Consider the following 14,863-nt stretch of genomic DNA (forward strand, 5'->3'; position numbering starts at 1 on the left):
ACCAATATGGTGAAACCCCATCTCTACTAAAAATGAAAAAATTAGCCGAGCGTGGTGGCTTGTGCCTGTAGTCCCAGCTACTTGGGAGGCTGAGGCAGGAGAATTGCTTGAATCTGGGAGGCAGAAGTTGCAGTGAGCCGAGATCGCGCCACTGCACTCCAGGCTGGGCGACAGAGCAACACTCCATTTCAAAAAAAACCAAACAAACAAAACAAAACAAACAAAAAAAAAAAACTTGGGACCATAGTGAAATTATAAATAGTTTTCTTATTTAACAAAATTCTATGAGCATCTTTCCATTTCATTAGATACTCTTTAAAAACAAAATGGCTAAAGGTTGCCTAGGTTCACCATATGGGTATATGGTTACCCAGTAATCTATCCATTTATCTCATTCTCTATTGTGGATATTGAGGTTATGAGCATTTTTGCCATTATAAGTAACTGCATGCACATGTGTTTCAGCAGATGTTTTGTGGGTGCCTTCTGGTGCCAAGGGGGCTGGGGGAGAGAGGATGAATAACTACAGTGCCCAACTCACTGCTCATGTGAAAAGGACAGACCTACAGCAAGTGGGCTTATCTAAAAAAGAGCTGGGAAGGAGCCCAAGAGAAGGACCTTGAGAGAGAGAGTCTGAGCCGAGCTTTTGTGCTGGGGCAGAGGAGAGCCAGGGAGCTGTGACCTGGGTGGCCCTGTCCCTGGCCGTCTGTCCACAGACACTGGGTGTGCTTCATTTGACTGGCCACGGGCGGGCAAGGACAGCCTCCCAAGGTCACTGCGTTGGTACGGGATTGGGCAAACAAGTGCAGAGATGGAGGCTTGTCATTCACTTTTATAATCACTTCCTGCCCTTCTCCAGAACACCCAGGGCAGCACCAGCGCACACATGTGCTCAGAGGTTGGTGATGTCAGCACTGGGCTGGGCTGTTCTCCCTTTCCTCTTTTCCCTGCCTCTAGGAGACTTCTCCCTCCCACTCTAAGGTCACAGGCGGCAAGGAGAGGCACCTTTGGCCCCTGCCACGTGCCCAGTCATTGGAAGCCCTGGCCCAGCCCTACCTACGTGCTCTGATCCTGGGAGCCCACAGCTGAGCTGGCCAGGGGGACTGTAAACATCCAACCAGGCAGAGGAATGGTTGGAGAGGCAGGTGTTCTGTCTGCCCTTCTCCAGGGCCGAGGCTTGTGGAGGTCAGACAGCTGGGAGGGAAGAGGGCCTTTTCTGGAGAAAGGAGCATGTGGCCGCCTCACTCTCAGCCTTCTCTAAAGTATGGAGACTTTATGGAGACTAATTTGAAGCCCATTTAGATGCTTCAGTCCTCCTTTCTCACCCTGCCCCAGGACAATATTTCAGCTCCATTAGCACAAGGGTTTTCCTGAACTTCCAGTTGGGAGACGTGAGTCAGGCTTACCGTGTCTAGCTCTGCTCGTTTGGAAAGAAGCCCTGCTCCCCACCTGGGTTTTCATTTCTGCAGCATGCAGTGGTAACGGGGTACAGCAGAAAGTGCATTGGGAAGGTTCCACAGGCCTAATTCCAATCCCAGTCTTACCATTTCCTGCCTGTGCAAGCCTGAGTGACTGTGGACCCTCCGTCTCCTCATCTGGTCTGTAGCCTGGAGATGATAAAGCCCCTAACCCTGACCTCAGACCCCCAGGAACTAGAGATGATGCATGGAGAGGACCCGGTAAGTGTCAACACATTGGGGTCCTCAGGAAAGTGTCATGGGGTTTATGTCAGGTGCCATTTCTTTCATTGGTGGCCTCTCTCCTCTCTCCCCTCGCCTCCCAGGAGGGGCTGTATGCTGAAATCCCCAGGGCCCCTCTCCTGGAAGGTGGGCTCCACTCCCTGGTCTGTGCTCTGTGTGGAGAAGCCACCTGTGCTGAGCAGCTTCTTCTGCAGGCAAACAGGAAGCATCTTACCTTGAGGGAGGCAGGAGAGCTGCCTGGCTGTGCTGTGTGTCTGCTGTGTTGTGTGTCCTCTGTGCCGTGGGGAGGAGGAAAGGCTGGGGAGGGAACTCCCAACACACACACACACACACACACACACACACACACACACACACACACACCCCGTACATATGCAAGACCCACTGCGTGGAAGCAACGGGGAGAGGCAGGTCCCATTCCCTTTAGTACAGTCTTGAAGAGAGGCTGAGCAACCTTTATTCATTCATCAAATGGCTGTGGAGCAATTGTGAGCCAGGCACTCCGCTGTAAAGCACATGGGCCAGTCCTTGCCCTGGAGAAGTTCATGGTCAAGGGGAGGATGGGAACCCATAACTAAGCCAAGCGGCAGGCCTGGACTTGGGGAAGGGGGAAGATCACTGGTGCCTCCCTTTCAGCCTCAGGAAACCATGGATTACCAGGAAGTCTGGACGGGACGGGGCAGAGCCCGAACTTGAGGAGGTGACACTTCACCTCTTGGTCTCCTGGCTTCTGCCTCCGCATCTGCTGCCAACCCCACTTGTCCATAACCTCTGGCCATGTTCAATATAGATCACTTTCGCTTCTAATCTCCTCCACTTTTCAGCAGCAATCAACCAAGCCAACCACTTCCTCCGTCTGAAGTAACCTCCTCTTGTCTTCTGTGACAACATGGCTCTCCCCTTGCTTCTCTCACCTTTGTGACAGTCCCTTTTCAGTCTCCTTTGCAGACCTGTCCCCTCCCATCCCAGGTAGGCACCACCTTCTCTCTCCAAGCTCAGATGGGCTCCAGGTGCGTTTTTCAGTTGCCTACTTGAAATATCTCACAGGTAGTTCAAATCCAATATTTAAAAATTAAACTCTGGGCCGGGCATGGTGGCTCAGCCTGTAATCCCAACACTTTGGGAGCCCAAGGTGGGCAGGTCACCTGAGGTCGAGAGTTCAAGACCAGCCTGACCAACATGGAGAAACCCCGTCTCTACTAAAAATACAAAATGCGTGGTGGTGCATGCCTGTAAACCCAGCTACTTGGGAGGCTGAGGCAGGAGAATCGCTTGAACCTAGGAGGCGGAGGTTGCTGTGAGCCAAGATAGCACCATTGCACTTCAACCTGGGCAACAAGAGCGAAACTCCATCTCAAAATAAATAAATAAATAAATAAATAAATAATAAATAAATAAATAAAAGTTAAACTCTGGATTTTCTCCCCTGAGCCTCATCTCCCAGTTCTTTCCTATTTCAGGAAATGCCATTATTACTGCCCATCTGGTTGCTTAAGTCAGAAATCTGGAAGTTGCCCATGACTTCCCCTCCCATCTTGTCCCCTCGAATATAATGAAAGAGCAGGTTCTATAATCATCCCCCATATGCATTCCCAGCCCTATGCCTCTCTTCTTTGCCGTGACTGCCCCAGCCAAGCCACTCTCCCCCATTGCCTGGACTCTCACAGAGCCTCCTGACTGGTCTCCTTGAACTTACGTAGCCTCTACCATCTCTTCTCCATACAGCAGACAGGTCCATCTATTCTCCATATAGCAGATGGATGATCTTAAAAGTAAATACACAAATACTCTTTGACCTGTCATTTCTCTGCTTTAAAAATGCACCCTGGGGGTCAGGCATGGTGGCTCACGCCTGTAATCTCAGCACTTTGGGAGGCCAAGGTGGGCGGATCACCTGAGGGCAGGAGTTCAAGACCCAGCCTGGCCAACATGGTGAAACCCCATCTGTACTAAAAATACAAAAACGAGCTGGGTGTGGTGGCACACATTAGTAATCCCAGCTACTCGGGAGGCTGAGGCAGTAGAATCGCTTGAACTCAGGAGGTGGAGGTTGCAGTGAACCAAGATCTCGCCATTGCACTTCAGCCTGGGAGACAGAGCAAGACTCCATCTTAAAAACACACAAACAAACAAGGCCAGGCGCTGTGGCACATGCCTGTAATCCCAGCACTTTGGGAGACCAAGGTGGGCGGACCATGGGGTCAGGAGATCGAGACTATCCTGGCTAACACGGTGAAACCCCGTCTCTACTAAAAATACAAAAAATTAGCCAGACATGGTGGCGGGCCCCTGTAGTCCCAGCTACTCTGAAGGCTGAGGCAGGAGAATCGCTTGAACTCAGGAGGTGGAGGTTGCAGTGAGCCGAGATCGCACCACTGCATTCCAGCCTGGACGACAGAGTGAGGCTCCATCTCAAAAAACAAACAAACAAAAATGCACCCTGGGCTGGATATGGTGGCTCATGCTTGTAATCCCAGCACTTTGGGAGGCCGAGGCAAGTGGATCACTTGAGGTCAGGAGTTTGAGACCAGCCTGGCCAACGTGATGAAATCCTGTCTCTACTAAAAATACAAAAATTAGCCAGATGTGGTGGCAGATACCTGTAATCCCAGCTCCTTGGGAGGCAGAGGCAAGAGAATTGCTTGAACCTGGGAGGCAGAGGTTGCAGTGAGCTGAGATCATACCACTGCACCCCAGCCTGGGTGACAGAGTGAGACTGTCTCAAAAAAAAAAATGCACCCTGTCTTGCCACTGGGGTGCCTGTGGGATCTGGCCCTGCCCCTCCTGGCCCCATCTTTTCCCACACCCCCTGGGACCCTGGGACTGCGCTGCACCACACTGGCTTGCTTTCTATTCCCTGGAAATGTGGAGACATTTCCCACCTCAGGGAAGGAATTAGAAGCCGAAAATGCCCTTCCATACTGGACCCTCCTCACCAGGACATGGTGCAGCTTCAGAGACCTTCCCGAATTCCCACGGCAGTGTGCTCACCCTTGCTGCTCTCTTATTTCTCTCTGCTTCTTCCCAGGCATTCTTCACAATTTATGATAAAGTTTGATTCATAAGTCCGATTGTTTATTTTCTTTCTCTGTCAGTAGACTGGAAGCTCCCTGAGAACAGGAGTTGTTCTGCAGTAGACAGGCCTATGCAAACCTACCCCAAAGTCTGAGGAAGTTGAGAAGTTGAAGAAAGAGGCTGAGAAAGCTAGGGGACTTTCCAACAGAAGCCATGTAGGTGTCTCAGGCGGCAATGAGATGAGATGGTGGATCCCCGCATTAGCACCCAAACCCAGGGCTCATATACCATAGGGTAGGAGTGGTTCAGATGGGATTTATAAGACAATTGAAGTGTGATATCATCAAGGTTGTTTGACCTACGAGTAGCACTTACGGACTTACAGTAAGTATCTGCTCTTACACAGGAAACAATAGATAAACTGGAAATTGTAGAGGCCCTGCCTTGGAACTGGGGTCACTCAGTTAAGTCAATGTGGCAGGTTAGCTTCCAAGATGGAGTTGCTTCAGCTTCCACAGGGGTCATGTGTTTTATTCCTGATAGGTCAGCGGCTTGTAGCATAGAGCCTGCACAGAGCAGGTGCTGACTTTGAGCCTTGGCCATGTTCCGGAGACACCCCTAGCGGCTGGGGCCCAGAGTGGAGGGTTTGCATTTAGGTCTTGGTGACTTCAGGTTTCTGACTTACCCAGCTTGATGGAGAGAGAGAGTTGTAAAACCTGAAATATATGAGGAAGAAGAGCTTGGAGAAGAGAAGGAACCAGGTTTGCCTTATAAACATTGAGTTTGAAGTGCTGGTGAGATAAGCATGTCCCCAACATTTGCCAGCCCTGGGAAGTGGAGAGTGGAGGACCCCATCTGATATGTCCAAATACATGAAAGTTAAGACTAAAGCTCACAAACTGTCATATAAAATGTGTCCTGCCGGGTGCGGTGGCTCACGCCTGTAATCTAGCACTATGGGAGGCCGAGGCGGGCGGATCACCTGAGGTTGGGAGTTCGAGACCAGCCTCGCCAACATGGAGAAACCCCGTCTCTACTAAAAATACAAAATTAGTCGGGCGTGGTGGCGCATGCCTGTAATCCCAGCTACTTGGGAGTCTGAGGCAGGAGAATCACTTGAACCTGGGAGGTGGAGGTTGTGGTGAGCCTAGATGGCATCACTGTACTCCAGCCTGGGCAACAAGAGCGAAACTTGGTCTCAAAAAAAAAAAAAGTGTCTATTCTCCTAATTCTCCTACCTCCCACTTTCATCATGGCCTGGAGCTCCAGGTTTGAAGGAGGATTCTTAGCCGCCTCTGAATGTTGCTGCCACAGCACAGCCCACCCCAGCCTTTGGCCCACGCCACAGCTCCACCTCCCTTTCTCTTCCCCACCCTGCTCTGTATCACACGTGCATGTGGGTGGGTGACCTGCCCAAAGGTTTGAGCTCTCTCTACCTGCTCCCGTCTCTGCTATCAGGACTCTTGCCAGCGCTTCACCCAGTCTCAGGCTGCATAGGGCAGCGGTGCTGTGTGCCCACATGGGGAGGAGGCCATTTGGGCCCCAGAAGTGGAGAGTCTCGGGATCTGGGGCACGCAGAGTGTGGTGGAGAAGCAGGGTGCACGGGCTCCATGTTGGTATGTTCCTGTGGACTCTGTACCCTGCAGGGAGGGGTGCGGCTGTAGGTGAGCTAGAGCCCGACCCTCTCAACTCTGGGTCAGGGTGGCTGGTCCCCACTGCTGTGTGGACATGCAAGTGAGGGAGTCTCTGGGTCAGCTGGAATCATGAAGACGAGAGTTCAGGGAGGGTGGGAGTGGTGGAGCCTCAGCAGAGAAGTTGACGGTCATTGATGTTGAGGAAGTAGATTGTGTGGAGGGAGGAGAATGGCATGGTGTTTGCGCTCCCCACCAGCCTCACTTACACTTGTGGACACTGCGGCCGGTGTCCTGAGGACGTGTGTTGGGAATTCAGCCACGGGGAATGGAGGTCCCTTGGTTCATATAGTCACAGGCTCTGTATTCTAACCCCAGCTTTGTAATTTTCCAGCTGTGCAACCCTGGGCAGTGGCTTAGCATCTCTGAGCTTGCCTCCAGATCCGGATCTGTATGATGGGGTTATTAATGCTTCATAAAGTAGGTGTGAGGAGGGATTGAGGTACTATTGGGAGAAACTTTGTAACTAAAAGGCAATTGTATCATTTGCATTATTACCAGTGACATGAGACATAGTCACACAAAAATTGAAATGTCATTTGTTTTAAAACCAGAAATTGCCCAACTTAGGGCCCTCCTGTCTCTCACTGGGTGCCCTGCAGGGGACCAAGAGCCAGAGCAAGACTGAGAACCTGGGGCAGAAGCGCAGGGAGGAAGGAGGTGGGGCCTGCTTACCAACCAGGCCTCGGCCCCTTCCCCTTTCAATCCCAGGCCCCTGCATGGCAGGGAGAGGCCAGTTCCACCATGGCAGGTTCTTTCTAGGCTGGTGTGCAGGGTGGGGGCCTCCAAGGAGCAGGGGCATGGGGAAAGGGGCTGCAGGCGCTGGGCCTAGGAAGAGAGGCTCTTATCTTGTGGGCAGGAAGTGTGAGGTGTTGAGCAGCTAGGGAACCCTGGGGAGGCGGCGGGGAGCAGGAGGGGTGTGTGTTGTGGTGAGGAGGAGCGGAAGTCGGAAGCTCCAGCCGTCACAGCCACATTCACTGGGCAAGCCGACTGTGAGCCAGGAAGTGCTCTTGGGGAGCCCAGGCCAAGCCATCCATTCTTGGGTCCTTTGGAGGTGAGCTAAGTGGGTCTGCCTAGGTTGGGGCTGGTGGAACCTGTGGGAGCAGGGAATGTGGAGAGTCACATGTGGGTCCTTGTGGCAGGGGCTGGGGCAGGTGGGCAGGGGAGAGGCGAGGGCTCTGGCAGTGCCGTGTGCACCTGCCATGAGCCTGGGCTAGGCTAGGCCCCTCCTTCCCCCTTCCTGCTCTGTGTCCCGTCCCCCTCCTCCCTCAGCCTACCCCTCCTCATCTGACCCTTCTCTGATTCCCTGCCCTGGCCCCACGGACCTCTGTTGTTTCCCTTCCCTGGCTCCCCGCAGAGCCTCTGGAGGTCTGCAATAGTGAAGGGTGAAGGAAGCTCCTTGCTAATCCTCTTGTGAGTGTCACTGCGTCCCCAGTGACTGCTCTGGCTGAGTACCCAGTGGGGGCTTTTGTGGCCAAAGGTCCCAAGTGATTCTCGACCCTAGACTCTGGAGAGAGGGAGTCTGGAAGGCCTGGGTTTGGGGTGGGGGTGGCTCTGGGTGTGGTTGCTGCAGGAGCTCAGAGTCAACTTGGCCATCAGGGGGCTCCCAGCTTCATCTTGCCTTCCAGGACCATCCTGGAGAAGCTCGAGGAGAGGTAAGGGGACCCTCCTTACTGGTTTAGCTCTGGCTTAGGCCTGTTGTCCTGATGGGCAACAGGAACCACTGAACTCTCAAAGTGTGCCTGTGTAGGAAACTAAGGCCCACTGTAGTCATTATTGTTATAGTGAAGGTAGCTGCATGGAGGGAAAGTCCCCTGACACTGCCATTCCCCCCTTATTCCAGGGCCTAAAATTCCACAGTTGAAGTCACTCCTCTGCTAGAATGCAGGGAAGGGTGGCCTGTCATTAGCTGATGATAAATACTCCTCCGTTCATTGGACCTTGGACCAGCTTTAAAAAGTGGTCCCCAAGCAGGCCTGTCTCCCAGCTGCCTAGGACTCTAGAGCATCCCGTGGCCCCCTCCTCCTACAGACAAGGAACCGCCTAGCATGGGGATCAGAACACAGGCTGCTGAGCTCTTTGTTGGGGAAGGGGGAGAGACCCACAGAAGGGGTGAGGGATGTGGGGTGAGAGGACCCAGGGAGGAGAGGCCCAGCCTGGCCCCAGCCCCCTAGGGGTCTTTGTCCTCCCCAGGCAGCAGCTGTACTGGGTCCCCTTTGTCATTCTGTCCCTACCCCCGTGATCTCTCCCCTGGATACTCTCTGCCTACCTCAGACCGCCATCCTCTGCTCCCTTCCTGAGCCTCTGCTGGCCTCACCACAGGCCTTCAGTAGCACTGTCTTCTCTCTCTCTCTCTCTCTCTGTGTGTGTGTGTGTGCGTGCAAATTTGCATGATGGCTCTTTCTGTGTGGGCAGGATGTGGGGCCTTCTCGAGTCATTTCTCTCACGGTGCTTCAGACCCCAGGTTCAGACAGAGGCCTCTGTCCTGCAGCTCCAGGCCAGGGAGTTCCACTCATGGTTCCTGCCTGCAGCAACATCTGTAATTCGGCAGCTTCTCGGGCTGCAGAGGGACAGGACAGGTCACCTCCTAAGTCCTTGGACCGGCCAGAAGCCTTCATACCTTTTCCATAGGAGGGAAAACATTTCCAGGGTAAAAGGAGGGAGCGTTTGCTTGCTGAGTCTGGAAGCTCAAAAAGGGAAACAGAGACAGGCACCCTCCGGATGAAGGTTCAGGGCTGACTCCTTGAGGAGGCTGAGAGCTGAGCCTGACCAGGAGGGCTATTTGTTTGTTTTTGTTAATTTTGGCTTCTCTAAATGGACAGCAAAACAACAAAATTAAACTGAGCAGGACACGGTATTTCCTGAGCACCCACCAAGGGCCAGGCCCAGCACTCAGACCCATTCCAACTTTACAACAAACCTGTGAAGTATAGCTTTATTGGGTCTTGGTTCCTTATTTTACAGAAAAGGAACCAGGTGGAGTTTTTCACCCAGAGCCACATGGCTTGTCAGCTGTAGAGTTAGGATGGGATTCTGCTCTGCATTCTTCACTATGACCCTGAAGTGGGCAAAGGAGGGTGGTCAGTGCAGGGCACCCAAGGCCATCACCTTCCTACTCAGGGCAGGCTCATACCCCAGCCTCTGTGCCCGGTCTCCCCGTTCTTCAGCCAGGGTACAAGGCTGCAATGCCAGGCTGAGGGTGAAAAACAAACTCACTGTTAGAAAGCACCGTCCGGGTGCCAGGTGTCAGCTGGGTTCCTTCCTGCCCCCTTGGGTCAAAAAGAAATTGCCTTGAAGCCGGGGGTGGGGCAGGTGGGAGGGACTCTGCCTTCTAGTCCCTCAGCCATTGCTTTCTGTGTGTTTCACCTCCCACAAGAGGGACATAAGGCTTAGCCCTTGCAGTATTCTCCATGAGAAACATACACCCCCTCCCCACCGTGGTGAAGATTCTCTGAAATGTAGTCAGCTGTGCTCAAGAAGAGTGGCTGGTTGGCAGCAGAGTGGAGCAGTGCTCTCTCTTCCCCACCTCGGCTCCCTCCCCTCTGAACCCTCCTTAAACTTTCAGAGCCACCTCAGAGCTCAGAAAAACTGAAGGGCCACTTTAATGTAGAGGTAACAGAACTCAACTGATGTGACAGGTGGCGATTCCTTTGCTGCGAATTCCTTTCCTTCTGCTTTCGTTCTGGTTGGGATAACAGACAGGAGATTTCAAGAGAGATTTTGCTAAACACCAGGGGTGGAAAAACACAAGTAAACCAAGAAAATTTTAGATGCGTAAGACCTGGGCTCTGCTGCCCAGTTTCTGGCCTGCCTCTGCCTAGAGGGTGCCATCCTACCTCAGGGATCAAAGGCTAGTTCCATCCTCCACCCTTCTGAGATCAGACCGCCCTCACCTGGGTGACCGGTAGGACTGCCTTTTTGGCCTTAGGAGGTGACTTCACCTTTTAGGTCATCCTACCTTTCCATTCAGGCAAGAGCAATTAAAAAACAGAAGGAAGACATCTTTTAAACACACAGTTACACAGTGCCCCCTGCACAAATGGAGAGCACAAACAAGACAATTGAATGGGTCCTCCTTTCTGTTCGGGTTGCTGCCTGGGAGCCAAGACCCACAGGGACATTTTGGCTGCTGACCTGGTAGGAACCTACCTCTGGGGGAGCACTGCCCTTGGAGCACTGGACTTCCTGGAGAGGGGAGGATGAGGTGATTGGTCATGGGCAGACTGGCCCCCGTGGGGAAGCCTTCATATTATAATGATGCTAATTCTCTTCTCCAAGCCTCGGTCTTCCCCGTCTTCTGGCCTGGTTGTTGTGGAGGGAGAGTTCTGAGGATCCATCCCATCAGTGTGTCTCTCCATTTGTCTGTCCATTCATCTAGCCATCCCCTCTCTTATTTTCACAAATGTTCTACAACGCCGACTCTCAGTCAAGGAGGCGCTGTACAGGAGTTTGAGTGACTCAAGTGAATTCAGGAATGTCCAAGAGAATTGATCAGTGGGGCAGGAGGAGAGAATGATGCTTAAGAGAGCTGTAACCTGGGTTCGCACACCAGCTCAAGTCACAGGGGGGCCTGAACCTCTTACGTCAACGCTAACCTTTAAGTTTCTAATCCACTTGAACTAAACCCCTCAAGTCAATGCTGATCTTTAAATTTCAAATCCAGTTGAACTAAAGTATGCCCCCAGACCTTGTGGGTCGGAGTGGTTGACAAATCAGTTACATAATGTGACTATGCCATTCAATATTTTCATACTGAGACACAGTGGCGAACAGGAAACATAAAGAACCTGCCATCTTGGTGCTTACCTTCTAGGCAAACTAGAACCACGCGGGTAAACACACTGGCAACTACACACCGGGATAAACGCTCAGAAAGTAAAAGCGAGGGGTGGAGTATAGTCACATTGAGTTTAATTGGTTTAAAAAGTCATAGCCGGCCAGGTGCTGTGGCTCATGCCTATAATCCCAGCGCTTTGGGAGGCCAAGGTAGGTGGATCACCTGAGGTCAGGAGTTTGAGACCAGCCTGATCAATATGGTGAAACCCCATCTCTACTAAAAATACAAAACTTAGCAAGGCATGATGGCGGGTGCCTGTAGTCCCAGCTACTTGGGAGGCTGAGACAGGAGAATCGCTTGAACCTGGGAGTCAGAAGTTGCAGTGAGCTAAGATCATGCCACTGCACTCTAGCCTGGGTGACAGAGCAAGATACCGTCTAAAAAAAAATGTCGCAGCCAGTCAAACTACATGCCTTGTCCCCACTGAATACCTGATCTGTCTCCACCCTTCCTGTCTCCATTGCCTTGGGCTCCCCTCCACTGACCAGTTCCTCACCCCCACCCCTCCCAGGCTCCTCAGGTGCTGCAGGCCCCAGAGATCTGCTCTCTTCTCTTTGCTCGGAAAGCTGCTGCAGCCTCTGGTATTTATTTTTTTTCCTCTGAAAAAACCCAGCAAGGAACGCTGGTTTTTTTCTGGGAAGGCAAGTCCAATCCTCACTTGTATCTAGTATCAGCATTAGCGTGTACCTAGAGGGCTGCTTTATGTACATATACATATCTATTTGCAAGTACATATGTGCAAAGAGAGACAAGTGGGGTTTCCTCTCATCTTATGAAAAATTCAGGATGTCCTTTCTAGCAGGCCCAGCCCCGCATTCCCACTCCCATTCCCATATTGGCACGGGAACGTTTCTTGCCAAGTGAGTTGACTGATGGTGAGAGAAGGTGGGTTGGCGTTATCCTGGCAAAATGCTCTGGGGCTCATAGGGCCATGAGGCTGGCACTCATTCAGGTACAATGTGTGGAGTTGGGTGAATGAGAACAGGAGAAGGGATCAGGGATTTTGCATGGCAGGAGAACTATTTGGGCCCAAAGACCAGGACTTTACAGAGACGTGGAGGGTGGCTTTGGGGTCTGGGAAGGGAGGCAGTTGAGTAGAGCTAGGGATGTCCTATGTTCTGGTACCTGTAAACCAGGTGCTTCTCCCCAGCTTTCCCCTCTATCTCTAAATAAACATGTCTTCCTAGTCATTTATTATACCCCATGGGCTGGTGTCTTGAGGAGGCGCAGTGGGATGTGGTGGGGTGAGTCACCTCCTTGCTCACACTCGGTTGCTCTCCACCAGGCAGGTTTGGGGAGGGAGATTTGGGGTCCAGGGTGTTTTCCCTAGTATAGACAATAGATCCTGAGGCTCCTCATCCCTTCTGCCTTAGAAGTAGAACCGTCTCAGGCCTCTTGCCCAGAGAGCACTGAGGGTGACAATGGGCAGCTGCATGGGGAGCAGAGAGTGGTATGGACTTAAGGAGTAAACCATACAAATCCTCTGCCTGTTACCTGGAGGTAGTGGTGGGAGGTGGAGAGGCAGAACCTAGAATGATGAGTGAAGGCTGGATCCATAGGAGAAGAATGAAAGGCAAGACTGTTAATGGAAAGGGATTCCAATCCAGACCCCAAGAGAGGGTTCTTGGATCTCGTGCAAGAAAGAATTCAAGGTGAATCCATAAAATGAGGGCAAGTTTATTAGCAAAGTAAAAGAATAAAAGAATGGTTACTCCATAGGCAGAGCAGCGCTTGGGCTGCTGGATTAAGGATACCCGTATCTTGAGCCGACCTCTTATCTCATCCTGTGACTTAGAATGCCTAGCTTCCCGGGAATGCAGCCCAGTAGGTCTCAGCCTTATTTTACCCAGCCCCTATTCAAGATGGAGCCACTCTGGTTCAAACATCTCTGATGAGACCAAATCTGGTCCATTTGATTCAGAGCATCAAGTACAAGATTAAACATAAGAAAGGGCCTCTCCTCTCGGAAAGTCAGCCTGTTGGGGAGGCTGCCTTAACTAACAGGTGGAAGGGCCCTGAAGGCCGGTCAGGGACCATTCCGGGTGGGCTGGAACATCAGAATCCTGAGGGTGTCATCCAGCAAGTCTAGATTCTTGTTATTCTAAAACAGGAATGCAAGGGTTGGGTCAGAGGGAGGGGTAAAAACCCAGAAAGAGATTTCTTTTGGAGGCACTTTTAGAAAAAGGATACTTTCAAGGTGAATAAGAAACTGAAATGCATACTGGCCCTCCTTCCTTCTCTCAGGTGCCCTCCAGAAAAAAGGCGTGGGGCAAAGCAATGTTTTCTAGGTGACCTTGAATAACAGCTGGACCCCCTGACCTTCGTGAGAGAGCGCTGAGGGTTACCATTTACTGAGTGTCTAACAGTGGGCCAAGCCTGGGCTGAAGGCCGCGCGAATCACCTCCGTTAACCCTAGCTCCCCACTGCAGTGGGGCTCCCAGATGCTAAGGAACTTTCCAGGCTTATCCACTCAGTTGTATGTGGCAGGACGAGGGTTTGAGCTGCAGTCCATGTGGCTATTGATTCAGCTTATGTTCTCTAGTGCTGGGCAGGGAGGAGCTGACCCCCATGGGTTTGTTATGTGTGCTGGTTAGGGCCCTGCATGCCAGTCAAGCTCCTGTCCTACAGCCTGCCTGTGGGAGGATCTCAGTGTGAGGTCTGGAGCCCTGGACGAGGCCACCTGGGCTCACTCTCTTCATACTGGAGCAGGGAAAGGGCAGAGAGAGCTGCAGACCGGAAGGTGGATGGTCTGGGGTCGGAGTCCGGCCCCTGTCACCAGCTGTGAGTCATTAAGCCAGACTCAGGCTAAGGCTTCCTCATCTGTTAAACAGCGACACGCAGGGGACTGCTCATCTTTCAGGTGCGAGGTTGGGGGAGTGGTGGGTGGGGACAGGCATGGTTAACTGCATGTGGAAGGGGCTGTTGTTCTTGGGTATCTGGAAGTCACACGTGGTTATAAACTGGGAGCATGTGTGTGTTTGTTAATAGTCTTGCTCCCCAAAATATTCTAATATAGCTCACAAGCACGCACGTAAGCCTTCAAGATAGAAATCTGTGAGTGAAGAAAATGAGGCAAAGGGAAAATAAGAAAAGACAGCTGCTGGGTGCAGCGGCTCACACCTATAATCCCACCACTTTGGGAGGCCAAGGTGGGCAGATCACTTGAGGTCAGGAGTTCGAGACTAGCCTGGCTAACATGGTGAAACCCCATCTCTACTAGAAATACAAAAAAAAAAAAAAATTAGCAGAGCATGGTGGTAGACGCCTATAATTCTAGCTACTCGGGAGGCTGAGGCAGGAGAATCGCTTGAACCCAGGAGGCAGAGGTTGCAGTGAGCCAAGACTGTGCCGCTACACTCCAACCCGGGTGACAGAGCGAGACTCTGTCTCAAAAAAAAAAAAAAAAGACAGCTGCCAGGGGAGTGCTTACGACATGCCATAAGGACCTGTGTACTTGACCCTGCACTTCCACTTTGTGGAGAGCCAGCACCATGAGACAAACAAGTTACAAGCTTCACAGTGTGCTTTGGATCAAAACAAGCCAGCTATTCTGAGGAAGCAGGGCTGCTCTGAGAGCCGTGTAAGCGGTGGGCTGCATGCAGGGGATGGAAATGCATGCT

The 14,863-nt window shown here is 52.0% G+C and overlaps 1 protein-coding gene and 1 long non-coding RNA gene across 2 annotated transcripts in view, besides 5 other annotated features; one reads left to right on the plus strand and one right to left on the minus strand.

The window, feature by feature from the left end:
* Positions 1-4,753: 4,753 nt before the first annotated feature.
* Positions 4,754-9,174, minus strand: LOC124907872 (uncharacterized). Its single transcript, XR_007087197.1, has 2 exons — positions 8,676-9,174; positions 4,754-5,431 (listed from the first exon to the last, which is right to left on the minus strand). It is a non-coding gene; the product is annotated as an uncharacterized LOC124907872 (long non-coding RNA).
* Positions 5,719-6,219: an enhancer, noted in NCBI's record as "H3K4me1 hESC enhancer chr2:113929890-113930390 (GRCh37/hg19 assembly coordinates)". NCBI's record gives its function as "activates a minimal SCP1, AML or CMV promoter by ChIP-STARR-seq in primed H9 embryonic stem cells {active_cell/tissue: H9 hESC(primed)}" and the evidence as "EXISTENCE:reporter gene assay evidence [ECO:0000049][PMID:30033119]".
* Positions 6,220-6,720: an enhancer, noted in NCBI's record as "H3K4me1 hESC enhancer chr2:113930391-113930891 (GRCh37/hg19 assembly coordinates)". NCBI's record gives its function as "activates a minimal SCP1, AML or CMV promoter by ChIP-STARR-seq in naive and primed H9 embryonic stem cells {active_cell/tissue: H9 hESC(naive and primed)}" and the evidence as "EXISTENCE:reporter gene assay evidence [ECO:0000049][PMID:30033119]".
* Positions 6,950-7,019: an enhancer, noted in NCBI's record as "active region_16413". NCBI's record gives its function as "activates an Ori minimal core promoter by ATAC-STARR-seq in GM12878 lymphoblastoid cells {active_cell/tissue: GM12878}" and the evidence as "EXISTENCE:reporter gene assay evidence [ECO:0000049][PMID:35858748]".
* Positions 7,070-7,239: an enhancer, noted in NCBI's record as "active region_16414". NCBI's record gives its function as "activates an Ori minimal core promoter by ATAC-STARR-seq in GM12878 lymphoblastoid cells {active_cell/tissue: GM12878}" and the evidence as "EXISTENCE:reporter gene assay evidence [ECO:0000049][PMID:35858748]".
* The window catches only part of PSD4 (pleckstrin and Sec7 domain containing 4), a 35,421-nt gene continuing 27,934 nt past the window's right edge, over positions 7,377-14,863 (plus strand). Inside the window, exon 1 of the mRNA NM_012455.3 lies at positions 7,377-7,460. The gene's annotated coding sequence lies outside the window, so the exon portion shown is untranslated. The remainder of the gene's footprint in view (positions 7,461-14,863) is intronic.
* Positions 7,860-7,949: an enhancer, noted in NCBI's record as "active region_16415". NCBI's record gives its function as "activates an Ori minimal core promoter by ATAC-STARR-seq in GM12878 lymphoblastoid cells {active_cell/tissue: GM12878}" and the evidence as "EXISTENCE:reporter gene assay evidence [ECO:0000049][PMID:35858748]".

The sequence above is a fragment of the Homo sapiens genome, chromosome 2, assembly GCF_000001405.40.
Source record: "Homo sapiens chromosome 2, GRCh38.p14 Primary Assembly".
Classification (NCBI taxonomy): Eukaryota; Metazoa; Chordata; class Mammalia; order Primates; family Hominidae; genus Homo; species Homo sapiens.